The sequence below is a fragment of the Homo sapiens genome, chromosome 15 (assembly GCF_000001405.40).
Source record: "Homo sapiens chromosome 15, GRCh38.p14 Primary Assembly".
Taxonomy (NCBI): Eukaryota; Metazoa; Chordata; class Mammalia; order Primates; family Hominidae; genus Homo; species Homo sapiens.
In genome coordinates, this window is record NC_000015.10 from 96,279,881 (window position 1) to 96,294,360 (window position 14,480).

Here is a 14,480-nt window from a genome sequence, read left to right on the forward strand (position 1 = left end):
TAATTTTGTCGGAAAGTGAACATAGACCACATCCTGGACCCAGAAAGAAACATGTTTTCTCTAAATCTGAGGCCAAGAAGACAATGGATAAGGCTAGGGTGGTGGGCAACACTGAAGATTCAGAGACAGCCATCCTACTGTATGTTTTTTGTTTGTTTGTTTGTTTTGTTTTTGAGACACAGTCTTGTTCTGTCACTCAATCTGGAGTGCAGTGGTGTGATCTTGGCTCACTGCAACCTCCGCCTCCCGAGTTCCAGCGATTCTCCTGCCTCAGCCTCCTGAGTAGCTGGGATTACAGGCGCCAGTCACCAAGCCCAGCTAATTTTTGTATTTTTAGTAGAGATGGGGTTTCACCATCTTGGCCAGGCTGGATTCAAACTGCTGACCTTGTGATCTGCCTGCCTCGGCCTCCCAAAGTGCTGGGATTACAGGCATGAGCCACCAAGCCTGGCTCCTAGTGTATGTTTTTTAAAAAATTTTATGTCCATAATCTTTGATCCAATAATGCAACTTCTTGGCATTTTTCTCAAAGAATAATCATGTGCAAATATTTGACTGTAAGGATGTTCACTGCCATTCTGTTTATAATGTTGAAAATAGAGGCCGGGTATGGTGTCTCATGCTCGTAATCCCAGCAATTTGGGAGGCTGAGGTGGTCAGATCACTCGAGGGTAGGAGTTCGAGACCAGCCTGACCAATGTGGTGAAACCTCATCTCTACTAAAAATACAAAAGAGGCAGGAGAATTGCTTGAACCCAGGAGGCAGAGGTTGCAGTGAGCTGAGATCGCACCATTGCACTCCAGCCTAGGCAACAAGAGCAAAACTCCATGAAAGAAGAAGAAGAAGAAGAAGAAGAAGAAGAAGAAGAAGAAGAAGAAAAAGAAGAAGGAGAAGGAGAAGGAGAAGAAGAAGAAGAAGAAGAAGAAGAAGAAGAAGAAGAAGAAGAAGAAGAGGAAGAGGAAGAGGAAGAGGAAGAGGAAGAAGAAGAAGAAGAGGAAGAAGAAGAAGAAGGAGGAGGAGGAGGCAGGGGAGGATGTGGAAAATAGAAGGGTTGTTACATGAGCAGTAACAGAATACTGGTTTCATGATTATAAATAATGAGAGGTGAAATCTACTGACCCCTCACTTATATGACAGAAAATGTGCTGTGAACTTTAAGAATCATTACATCATTTAACCTTATTGTTGTGCCTATCTTACAGAGGAGGGAACTGAGGCATAGGGTGTTTAAATAATTTGCCCAAATCACATAGCCAACAATGTCAGGGCAGGGCATTGGAACTCAGTACTCTTTAACACCAGAGCTCAAGCTTCTCCCGCAAATTGCACTTCTCCCATCAATATTGAGACATCCACAATAGTCACTGTGCAGCCATGAAAATTATAATCTAGGAGGACATATGATGACTCAGAAAAAAACGATGATGTATTTTTCAGTGACCAAAGCCTGTGCCTGTCATTCTGCACAGGCATTGTTAGATGAAAATATCAGAATCCCATAGACACTGCTCCATTAAAGACGAATATTAGGTAAGGATGCAAGGCGATTCCACAAAATTCCCTGCAGGGATCAGTGCCAGGATACAAGGAGTCTCTGCCCCTAGAACTCCGCCATCTCTTCCTCTGCTTCTTACTGTCTCCTCTACTCATCTCTTGCAAACCACCTTCTCCACTAAAGCTTTAGCTTTCGAGGTACAAATTCTAATCCCGTGTTGATACGGCTTGGCTGTGTCCCAACCCAAATCTCACCTTGAATTGTAATAATCCCCATGTGTCAAGGGAGGGGCCAGGTGGAGACAATTGAATCATAGGGGTGGTCTCCCCCATACTGTTCTCCTGATAGTGAATAAGTCTCGTGAGTTCTGATGGTTTTATAAAGGGGACTTCCCCTGCACAAACTCTCTTGCCTGCTGCCATGTAAGACATGCCTTTGCTTCCCCTTTACCTTCTGCCATAATTGAGGCCTCCCCAGCCATATGGAACTGTGAGTCCATTAAACCTCTTTCCTTGACAGATTACCCAGTCTCGGGTATGTCTTTATTAGCAGCATGAGAATAGACTAATACATATGCCAATGTGCTGCATACAATCTAATTTAATCCCAGGGAAAGAGCAGGGACTAGCCCAGCTGGGCCAGATGTCCACACCTGTTCCAATCAGCTGGGGCCAGGGAATAGAATTCTGTAGAACTGGTTCAGTAAAATAGGAAGTAGCTCAGACGGAAGCACTGACCATCTAAGTGGTGATGCTACATTTTTGGATATAAAAACCATAATTAGAAAGAAAAAAGATGAGAAAGGCCCACATCAAGTTGTTAACAATGTTTCTGTCTACAGTATTTGTTTTCTTATTTTTGCTTGTCTCTGTGTTCTAAATTTTCTAAAGTGGACATATATCACTTTATACTAAGAGGATAAAAGAGACCCAGCCTACATGGGAATTAAAAATGAATGTCCCCTGGCCAGGCACAGTGGCTCATGCCTGTCATCCCAGCATGTTGGGAGGCCAAGGCAGGCATCCGCTTGAGGCCAGGAGTTTGAGACCAGCTTGGCCAACATGACTAAAAATGTTTATATTTTTAGTAGAAAAAATACAAAATTTTTAGAATTCAGTAGAATAATACAAGAATTTTTTGTAGAAAAATTTAGTAGAAAAATACAAAATTTTTCCACTAAAAATACAAAAATTAGCTCAGTGTCATGGCACAAGCCTGTAATCCCAGCTACTCAGGAGGCTGAGGCACAAGAATCGCTTGAACCCGGAAGGCAGAGGTTGCAATAAGCTGAGAATGCACCACTGCACTCCAACTGGGGCAACAGAGCAAGACTCCATCTCAAAACAAAACAAAACAGAAACAAAGAATGTCCCAAGTGGGTGCTATTAGGAGACTAAAGGCCCAAATCAAGATTAAAAGTAATTTCAGCAATGATGGAATATAGTAAATGCTTACCAAAGAAAGGTTAGCAGCTGAACCGCAAACCCCACCTGACAGCCCTTGGATTGGAGCAAGCTTCATCATGAAGATCTCAAAGCTGTATCTGGTGGAGATGCCGGGCATTGTGGCACCAGGGCCCACTGTCCCATGACACTGTGCTGGACAACTGGCTCCTGGGATAAGACAAGTCAGAGCAGAGAAGGGCGTGAGTCACGTGGAATATAAGATAGGATTTGAGGAGGCAAGAGACAGTGGCCATAAAGAAGGAAAACAAGATGAATATGTATATTGCAAGCAGTTGACTGAGGAATGAGACAAGGGCAGAGAGAAGTTCACTGGTCTGAAAACTGGCAATGGAGTAGCAAGTATGTAGGGAAGGAGAAGGGGAGGTGAATCTTTTTTTTTTTTTTTTTTTTTTTTTAAATTTATTGCTCTGTCACCAGGCTGGAGTGCAGTGGCGTGGTCTCAGCTCACTGCAACCTCTGCCTCCTGGGTTCAGGCGATTCTCCTGCCTCAGCCTCCCGAGGAGCTGGCATTACAGGTGCCCATGACAACACCCAAATAATTTTTTGTATTTTTAGTAGCAACGGGATTTCACCATGTTAGCCAGGATGGTCTCGAATCTCCCGACCTTGTGATTCGCCCGACTCGGCCTCCCAAAGTACTGGGATTACAGGCGTGAGCCACCACCGCACCTGGCCCGAATCTTTTTCATGCACAGAAAGGATAAAGTCACAGCAGAAGAACAAAAAAGGCAAGGTTTTTGGACCATTGCAGAATGATGTAATTGAAATAAAGGACAATTGGTCATACCAAGGCGGGGCAGAGGAGGATAAATAAATCATTGAGCACAGACATAGAAGTTTGAATAAGGCGAGTAAGCACCCCCACTCCAGAGTAAGGGAACCTTGGCCACTGCTGTCCTATTTGCCTTCAATGCTCTCCAAATGATCAGTGGCCACAGGCCTTCCGAAGTACACTCTGTCTGTGACCTACACGAATGCGAGTGTTCATCTTGTATCCCACTTGGTACCCATTCTTCTATCACCTCACTCACCTGGTGAATGGGTACTTATTTTATTACTTTTCACAGAATACTTAATTGACTTTGATAGCTTCAACGAGATTGGAGATTGGAAGCTCCTGGAGATGAGAGGCTGGGAGTAGCTGACACCATGATTGGACACTTCAGCAGTTTTAAAACATGTCCATGAGTTCTTTAACACTCCCCACATCCAGAGGAGGTATCTAAATGCCCTGCCCTTGAATCTGAGCTGATCTTAGTGATTGGTGGACAATAGAAAAGGTCACTTGGTAGGTCAAAAAGGATAATTTGGGCCGGGTGCAGTGTCTCACACCTGTAATGACAGCACTTTGGGAGGCCGAGGCGGGCAGATCACTTGAGGTCAGGAGTTCGAGACCAGACTGGGCAACATGTTGAAACCGCTTCTCTACTAAAAACACAAAAATTAGCCAGGCGTGGTGGCGGGCGCCTGTAATCCCAGCTACTCTGGAGGCTGAGGCAAGAGAATCGCTTGAACCCGGGAGGTGGAGGTTGCAGTGAGCTGAGATCACGCCACTGCACTCCAGCCTGGGCGACAGAGTGAGACTCCATCTCAAGAAAAAAAATAAAATAAAATAAAGAATCATTCAGCCTCAACCTTACTCTCTTGGGACACTCATCTTTGGAGTCCTGAGTGGCCATGTGAGAAGTGCAAGGATGAGATGCCGTGAGGAAGTTCAGATTACATGGAGTGACCCCATGCAGGGGTTCCAGTTGACAGCCCCAGCTGAGGTCGCAGCCATGGCCAACATCAACCAGCAGACATGAGAGTGAGGCAGCCTCAGTGATGACTCCAGCCTTGGCCTCCGCCAGACCTCATCTTTATCCTCAAGAAAGACTGTGTGGGAACCACCCAGCTGATCCCAGTCAACACTCAAAACAATGACAGATCATCATAACTTGATTTTTGTGATTTTAAGTTAATAAATTTCAGGGCGATTTGTCATGCAGAAATAGATAACTGGATTAGATATAGTTGGTTCTCAATACGTTTCTATTAAATTTCATCCAATAGCAGATAAGAGACGGCAACATTGTCTCTTGATCTTTTTCTCCCTTTTTGTCTAACTCCTTGCTCTTTTGTTCCTTGGTCAGTCTCTCCTTATATCCTTTCTCTCTCTCTCTCTCTCTCTCTCTCACTTTTTCTCTCTCTCTCTCTCTGCAAATTCAGAATTCTCCCCTTCTTTTGCGGCCATGGAAGCTGGAGAAAACAGATCTTCCATCCAGATAGCCAGGGCTCTCTCTCTATCTATAAAAGGCCTCTGTTTTCTCTCTTTTGGCATAAAGAAACTCAATTCCTTTGTTTTTAACTGCTCCCATTTCTCTGTTCTGTACTGACTTGATTCCTCCTTCCTGAATGATCTTTGAGTCTTCTGTGTACTTTTTAGGTTGTAAAACAAAGAACAAGACACCCTACCCCAGCGATGATCTTGGCTATAACATTACCCTCATCTGGAAAGCGCTGTTATTTTTGGCCACCTTCGGATCTTCGTGTAGCTGTTCCACCCCTCTGCTGCAGGAGCTCCGACTCACTTCCCCAGGCAGTCCAGGGGGTCTGTAGACAGCAGCTGCATGAGGAGCTTGAGTGGGAAGACAGCAAGCCGGGTGGTCAGAAGAATCTCTGTGAGGATGCGGCTTCAAATGAAGCAGTGTGGGCGGGAATGCATGAACCCTGTGGCCTGGAGGCTGCCTGGCTCGCCTTACCCAGAGAAGGAGTGACTCATAGAATGGTCGCTGAGCAGCTGATCAAGTATGGAGGCTGAGGGAGACCCAGAAACTGGACCGGAAATCTTCCCCCACCCCCAATGTGAAAGGACGTCTGTTCCATCTGCGTTGCCCCTCAGAGGTGGCCTGACCACTGCCTGAGAGTGTCACCCTGGGGCAAGCCTAGGTGGGCACGCGTCGACCGCTTCACACCCTTGCTCAAACACACAGCATCGTGCATGAGCACAGAGCTGCTTGACAGAAAGAGGAAGAAGCCAGCCCCCAGGAATGGCAAACACGTTGCGAAAAGGACCGCGTGCAGGGTTGGCCGGGTGCACTGGCAGCAGCCAGGCAATATCATCTCAGGTCAAGGAGAAAGCCCCATGGCCAAAAATAGCCGCGCTGCCCAGTTGCCACAGTGTCTAAAATTACACCATTGGAGATTTATTCCTTTGCGCACCTCACCTTTGCTGGGGGCGGGTCCGGGGAGGACCCACGAAATGTCTTCACATTAAGGTGCAAAAGGCCTGGCAGCTCCACAGAGTTATTTGGGGGCGGGAAAGGAGGGAGGTGTTGAAAGGGCAGGAACAAGGAGAGGAAGTGCTGGGAAGGGACAGCGCTGGGCAGCTTCTCCTATTTCAGAGTTTCACCCTGAAGGAGCCTAGCTGGCAGCTACATCATAAAACTGAGGCCTAAGCAATTTGCCAGTAAATTTGAACCATGCATGTAAACAATTCTAATAATTTATTCCTTGAAATGTTTCCTATCATATATTATTATGCAGAGCTGCACATGCTCTATTTCAAATTGCCTAAACGAAAAAAAAAACGTACATTAAGGGACAATTAAAAAGAATAACAAGAGGCAACATGAGGAAACAGTGTATGCATATGCCAGTCAGGCTGGAACACAGAGGGAAGCCGAAGGCAGCCAGGCAGCCCGTTGCAACCAAAGGCTTGATTTCTGGGGCAAGATTCCCTCGGAAATTCAGGCAAGGACTGTCTTTATACGTAGAAGTTTCGGTAACTTGACCCCAGCAGATTAAGCAGTAAACAAAATAAAAGCAGACAATCACTATTCGAAAGCCACATCCAGTCCGCTGCATCAATACACAACAGCTCCACTGTAAAAGTTCCTAAGACATAGATAAGAATTTCAGAAAGGTATGTCCACCCTGCTTGAGCCACCTCCGGGACAGAAAGCTAAGTCCCATGGATGCCCTGGTGGGCTTTAGGCAGGGGCAGGGATAAACTAGGGAATGGAAGGAAGCAGAACATGAGGAAGGGAACGAGGGAAAAATGAAAGAGCAGAGCCTGACACTGGGAACAGCTGGTTCCCTCAAGAATAACCACACCTCTACACCATTTGGCAGTTTAAAAAGAACTTCCACGTTAACTTTGCCTTCAAACCTCCAACTCCCATGAAGGAAGAAAGTTTACTCTCATTTTTATAAAGGAGGGTTCTGTGGATGAGAGCAATTAGGTAACTTGCCCAAGGACACACAGCTGGTAAGCTGGGGACCATGGTCAGGTCTTGAAACCCAGTCTAACTAACTACAGCCCCTGCTTTGTTTATTCCCACAGTGTTGGGAGTTACAGAACACGGGGATTCAAGAAATGATCCCCCTGAATCCACTGAGTAAATTCCTGGTGATTTTAGTAACTAAGGCTTTCCTTCTCAACCTTAATTCATTTATGCACTCAACAAATAATGATTGAGCCTCAACAACTACTGGGCATTGTTTCGGAGCTGGAGTTCACCTTCATGGAGATTTCACATAAGGGGCTCCTTGACAGCTGATGGCAACTGTCCTCTTTTCAGAGAGCCACTCCCTGACTGTGCAATGCAAATCGGCTCCAGCCACCTTTCAATCTTCCCGTAATACTTAATACCATCTGAAACCATGAGGTTCATAGATTTATTCACTATATTACTGCTTATCTCCTTCTCTAGAAAAGTAAGTCCTTCAGAAAAATGACCCAGTCTTATGTGAAGCTGACTCTCCAAAATTAGAACAGTTCTTGCACATAATAGATGCTCAATAAATATTTGTCCAATAAATGACACTGAATGCCAAGGAAAGCTTTTTACCAGTGCCTACTATGTTCATAAAATAGTGTGAGACTAATTACATAAATCATTTCATTAAATCAAGATTATATATGCCAAAATAGAAAATATATGAAGAAAATAGGGTTTTAATATTAGTGAAGAAACTGCTTGGAAGAAATAAGGGTCCATTTGTAATGCTTCTATCCTGTGCCACTTAATGCAAGAACAAGGGCTATTTTGTGACATTAAAAAGCAACAAATTTAAAACCAAGAAAAGGAAATACTTTTTAAAGCAGCGTATAATCTACCTGTGGAATTCAGTGCCGCAGGATATTATTGAGGCAAATAGTCTAGCAAGATTCAAGAAAGGATTAGACATTTATATGAATAGGAATAATATTGGTAGTTACACTAACTAAGTTAAAAAGTTACAAGGCATGTCCGTCCTGGGCTCCAGGGCATAGCTGTTCACCAGCTGGAGTGAGGAAGGAATTTCCCCCTGGGATAGAGCATTGCAGAACTGGCCAGATGCACGATGGCTCGTATTTTTGCCGTCTTCTGTAACATAGGCAGGGACCACTGCCAAGGGGAAGTTTCTAGAGTAGATGGACCAATGACCTCTAAACATGGTGTTTCTGTCTTCTCCTTGAACAGTCCTGAATAGGACATGGAGGTTGCATGTAAAGTCTTTTGGGATTCGTACCTGAGAATTTTTCAATTTCAAAAAACAGAAATTGACAGGTAAAAATAACTTGCCTCTTCCTAATGACAAAAATATTACATGGAATGAAATCATGCCCTGCCTGTAATCTCATTAGCAGCATAGCCAATAGTGCCAGGAGGCTGCCTGAATGCTTCCAAACCTCAACACATCGGAGTCTTTGTAGAATCTCATACAAGGACATCATCTACCCATGTTTTACATCCATCTATCACTGTGCCTTATGTGCTTGTGCTTAACACAGGTGTTTAACGAAAATGCATTTCTGCAGATGTGAACAAAGCCTCTCATTATGCTGTCCACTCACCTAGCAAAGCTTCTCTCTTTATTACATAGTCAATTACACTGCCAGGCACAACCTTTGATTCTTGGTGATGTATGCCATGCATTTTTTTCATTCTAACATGAAAAATCCAAAAGGTAGTTGTTAGCCATGCAACCAAATACAAGTGTTCACAATGGTATGGTATCATATTAATGAAAACATTGAAACTAAATTATGCATTATACTTGCTTACTTTACCGACCTCAGTTTTCCAGGTGTAGACAACACTCTGAAGAAACTGCATCAGTATTTAAATTATTAGAGATACAGGCCAGGTGCGGTGGCTCATGCTGGGAATCCTAGCACTTTGGGAGGCCCAGGCAGGTGGACCACTTGAGGTCAGGAATTCAAGATGACCAGCCTAGCCAGCATAGTGAAATCTCCATCTCTACTAAAAATACAAAAATTAGCTGGGCATGATGGCGTGTGCCTGTAGTCCCAGATACTCTGGAGGCTGAGGAAGGAGAATGGCTTGATCCTGGGAGGCAGAGGTTGCAGTAAGCCAAGATCGTGCCACTACACTCCAGCCTGGGTGACAGAGCGAGACTCTGTCTCAAAAAAAAAAAAAAAAAATTATTAGAAAAAGGAAAGTCCTCTCTCTGAGGTATAAAGAACATTCTGGAAGCCAAAACAGAAAGGGAAATTTTAGTTTAAATCTTAAACCAGCAATAAACCTAAAATTTTCAAAGTTTCCTGAAAAAAAGATAAAATTAAAATATATACAGCAAAATGTTGAATAATGTTAATATATGTGTTTTTCTGGAGAGAGAGAGAAAGAGAAACCATAGATTCCATTAATATCTTCAGCTATGTTCTCACACAATATAAGTTAAGAAAGTTAAGGAACACTAACCTAGGACCCAGTCCAAAAGAAAATTCTCACCTAAGTCTGGACAAAGTCCTTTCAAAGTCCTTTGCAACTACATGTAAGACTTGTTCCCTTGAACTCCTTAAATTAGCAGAATAATATCAATTAGATTCTTTTGGTCAAAAATCATTCATATAGGGTCTAATCCCCATCCAGAGAAAAAAAAACCTTAAAACATTTAAGTGTTGAAGGCTACCTGTCATTTTATTAACTGGTTGCAAATACGCTTTTTTAGGTTTGGCCGTTTTCTCAGTCTAAGCTTTCCTATTTTCTCATGTGGTTATTATAAGAGAAGAGCTTCTCTGATTTTTGTTTGCTGGTGTGGGTTTTTTTTTTTTTTTTTGGTTGTTAATGTTTGTTTTTTACTTATAACCACATATTATGAGGAATGATAAGGTATTATAAATTAATAGTGTAAGCTCTGTAATCAATTAGGATGGGTTGAAATCTCACACTAGACTCCAAATAAACCAATTAGTCTCCCCAGGCCTCTCTTTTTTAATCTATAAAATGGAGATATAATAATATCCACCACACAAAGTCTGTGTACAAAATAAATGAGACAATGCCTGTAAAACATGTGGCATTGTGCTTGTCATATATTAAGTAGACAATAAATATTACCTATTAGTATGACTACGTATATTTTGCCTATGTATTTATAAGCATTAAGAGTGCATATCCTGTTTCCTTATTATCACATAGTTCTCATACATTTTTATGGGCCCTTGATGCACACTGCAAATGAATTTCCAAAAGGATTTTGCTAATATATCCTATCAGCAATATGACAGTGTCAGTTTTACCACTCCTTGGTTAAAAATGGGAATTACTATTAACCAGGAATAAAAGAAAAAGACCAAAAAAAACAAAAAAAGCGGGGAAAAAAAGGAAGGCAAGAAAGAAAAGATAATTTAATTTTTTTTAAATGTGTACATGTAAGCTTTTGCGTTTCTATATCTAGGAAAAGAAATCTGTGAATGTTCAGATTTCCATTCGACATCAGCCAGTTTCTTTCCAAACACTTTCTCAAAGTGTCGTACTTCATCTTTCAAAAAGCCTCATCCTACAGTCACACACCTTGTAGTTTTCCGGCTGAGGGACTCACAGAAGGGAACCGTGGTTTCCTGGTTCTCTGCCAGATGTCCAGTGGTCCCACGAAGGCCAGAGATTCAACTGCCTGCCACTCTTGTGAAGATGTTGCATACAGGACGATTCCCAGAGGAACTGGGACCTGGTGAGGCCAACACACAGATATTTTCTTGTAAGGTAGGATAAGGCAGAGTGACACAGCCCGCATCTGACCACAAGTCATGGGAGGTGTAACCCAAGGTGGCTTATCACCTGAGCTCTGAAAGGGATAATCTGGGAGGAACAGTTGGTTTGTGCAGCTTTTCAAGAGACTTAAATAATACCTGGTTTTGTGGGAAGAGAAGGAACAAAAGAAAAGAAAGCAAAACCCTGGGCACGATGGCTCACACCTGGAATCCCAGCACTTTGGGAGGCCAGGGCAGGCAGATCACGAGGTCAGGAGTTCAAGATCAGCCCAGCCAACATGGTGAAACCCCGTCCCTACTAAAAAAACAAAACATTAGCCAGGCGTGGTGTCGGGTGCCTGTAACCCCAGCTACTTGGGAGGATGAGGCAGGAGAATTGCTTTAACTGGGGAGGCGGAAGGTTGCAATGAGCCGAGATTGCACCACTGCGCTCCAGCCTGGATGACAGAGCAAGACTCCCTCTGTCTAAAAAAAAAAAAAAAAAAAAAAGAAGAAGAAGAAGAAAAGAAAAAGAAAGCAAGAAAACACTTTAGTTGTGGGTACTGGATTTACTGCATGTCAGAGTGGGGAGATTGACAGTGTTGACTTGGAAATATTCTAATTCTAGGCAACCAAATGGAGGCTTTTCCTCACCTTCTCCACACCAATGTCTGGCTGGCCCCCTCTTTCTTTTAAAACAGTTCCTGGGGAGGCCCCAAAATTCATCTGATGTCTGTATGAGCACTGTTCTAATAAGAAAACAGTGACCTCCCTGTTTTTTGTTTTTTTTTACTTTTTTATTTTCTGGTTTTTGTTTTTTGTTTTTTTGAGATGGAGTTTCCCTCTGTTGCCCAAGCTGGAGTTCAGTGGCATGATCTCAGCTCACTGCAACCTCCGCGTCTTGGGTGCAGGCAATTCTGCCTGAGCCTCCCGAGTAGCTGGGACTACAGGCGCGCACCACCACCACGCCCGGCTAATTTTTTGTATTTTTAGTAGAGATGGGGTTTCACCATGTTGGCCAGGATGGTCTCGATCTCTTGACCTCGTGATCCACCCGCCTCAGCCTCCCAAAGCCTCCCTGCTTATTCACACAAATCCCTGAATAAGAACTCTCTTCCAGGTGGACATGATTTATAGGGCTGATTCAACGGCTTCTCCTACCTTAATTACCATGAAGGACTCACATTAAAATGCTTAGAAAAGATGAGAGTTGGGCTCTTTTGACTTTTGCTGGTGGTGTGGATTACCTGCTATATTCCTGAATCTGGCGCTTGCTAAAGAGGTTGAGAGGATTTGCACTCCAAGATGGGGACCACTGGCATGACCTTTTTCCTTGGCTCTGTGGTCAAGCCACCCCCTGCTCCACTTACTACCTGAGTGACACCAGGCAATCATTTCACCTCTCTAGACCTCTGCCACCTAATTCAGTACGTGGAGATAGTCACACCTGCCTTGCAGAGTTATTGTGAGGGAAGCACCAGCTTCTGGTACATGGGAGATTTTATTTATACATGAACACATATATGCTTGCATACACACAGATGTGTACCGCAGTTTTTGAAAATCATCTCCATTTTTATAGCTCACAAGGTGATTTTTGAAAAGTCAATCAAGAAAAGAAGAAAAAAACCATTTTCCTCTCCAACAAGAAAAAGCAATTAAACGTCAAATATTAACTGTTCCCTGGGAGAAAATTTTTTTAATGGGTTAAAGGCTTGGCCATTATAGACCTCCAATATGTAATTTCTAAGAAAGGACCAGGTAATATATTTTTTTAAATTAAGTGGAAGACAAAATGCTGGAACCAGTGAATCCATTCAGAAAGCGCTTTTTTATCCATTTTCCGTAGCTTCCCAATTGCATCATGCCTTTTAAGAGGCCCAATTTGTTTAACAGCATTTTATTTTAAACCTTCACTTGTGAAAAGCATTGATTTATGATAGGGCTGATTAAAGCAATGGTGTCTTAAGCAATAATGATTTCAATTATAGGACTTTCACCAACGTGCATTATTCTGATTTGCTCTCCATTCTTGCCACATTTTTATTCACAAAGAAAGGGGTAGGGATAGGTGATGTAATTTTGAAAAGTCCCTGGACAAATTTAATATCAGAAAGGAATGTATAGACAGATGGACTGATGTACCTTTTTTGATTATGTGAATGTATTGTATTTTAATAAGCTCTGACAAACTCTTCAACAGCTCCCTGATGAGCTCCTACTTGGTATCATTAGGGTTATTTAGTGCTTAGATTCGGCTCAATTCCCACTGGAGCCACACTGAGGTTGTAGAAATGTGCACACTACAGATTCACTCGAAGCCTAGCACTTAGAGTCTTATCTTTTTGTGAAGCTGGAGAAAACAATTAAGCTCACACTTAGATCTTTAACTTGTTCAAAGTCAACAGCCATAGAAAGGCACACTAGGCTGGGTGTGGTGGCTCACCCCTGTAATCCCAGCACTTTGGGAGGCCAAGACACGTAGATCACTTGAGGTCAAGAGTTGGAGACAAGCCTGGCCACTGTGGTGAAACCCTGTATCTACTAAAAATACACAACTTAGGTGGATGTGATGGTGGGCACCTGTAATCCCAGCTACTCGGGAGGTTGAGGCATGAGAATCGCTTCAACCCGGGAGGTGGAGGTTGCAGTGAGCTCACCCCCCTGCATGTAGAGACATGGCAAAACCCTGTCTCTACAACAGATACAAATATTAGATGGGGATGGTGGTGCTAGTTCCAGTTACACAGGAGGCTGAGGTGGAAGGATTGCTTGAGCCTCAGGAGATAGAATCTGCAGTGAGCTATGATCTCACCACTGCACTTTACCCTGAGCGACAGAGTGAGACACTGTCTCAAAAAAAAAAAAAAGAAAAAAAGAAAAAATGTGAAGTCAGCCTGGAGTCATATGCAACGGAATTCAGGGTATCCATCTAAATCTAATTCAGAATGCAACCTAACATGGTGGGGGTGGGGGGTGGCGTTGGGAGGCGCAGGGGGTAATCTATCACATTTATTAATAATGGCAACCTGTGAAGGAGCCCTGCCTAACGGGGGCTGCTATTCCTAATAGTCACTATGCACAGCTGTTGACCAAACAGTGCCACAACTTCGGAATTCAGAAATTCATATTGTTATGCAAAGTTGAAGGTTCTTGATTTTAAAGAGTGGATAAACACTGGCCCAATTCAGCCTGCAGGCTGCCTGTGCAATGCTCCCTAGTTGGTGCACAACTGGCCAATCAATCAAGTTATTGAACAGAAGATAGGCCCAAAACAGCACCATGCTCTGCAAGAACCTTTTTAAAAATGATCAAAGTATTTCAATTCTTCTACTATGCAAACATTTAGTGGGAATCTGTTATGTGCTAAGAACCATGAGTGGAGTACTGGGAACACACAAAAAGAATAATATCCATTAGCCCTCAAGGGGATGACAGTCTGTTATTTACATATATGAACTATGAGAGATTTTGGGTTAAAAAACTAGGGAGAAATGCAGTCTAACATTGAGTCCCAATCCATCACGCTTATTTTTAGTTAAGAACCTCCTTTGT

At 43.1% G+C, this 14,480-nt stretch overlaps 1 long non-coding RNA gene across 3 annotated transcripts in view; it reads right to left on the reverse strand.

The window, feature by feature from the left end:
• Window positions 1-14,480, reverse strand: part of NR2F2-AS1 (NR2F2 antisense RNA 1) — a 200,002-nt gene that overhangs the window by 152,521 nt on the left and 33,001 nt on the right. The window contains exons 2-5 of one of the 3 annotated variants that reach the window (NR_102743.1): window positions 10,750-10,903; window positions 8,784-8,875; window positions 5,446-5,579; window positions 2,952-3,109 (exon numbers count right to left, since the gene is read on the reverse strand). This is a non-coding gene — a long non-coding RNA (NR2F2 antisense RNA 1). Of the gene's footprint in view, window positions 1-2,951; window positions 3,110-5,445; window positions 5,580-8,783; window positions 8,876-10,563; window positions 10,904-14,480 lie in introns of those variants that run through there. The other 2 variants (NR_125738.1, NR_102744.1) reach the window with 2 other exon arrangements.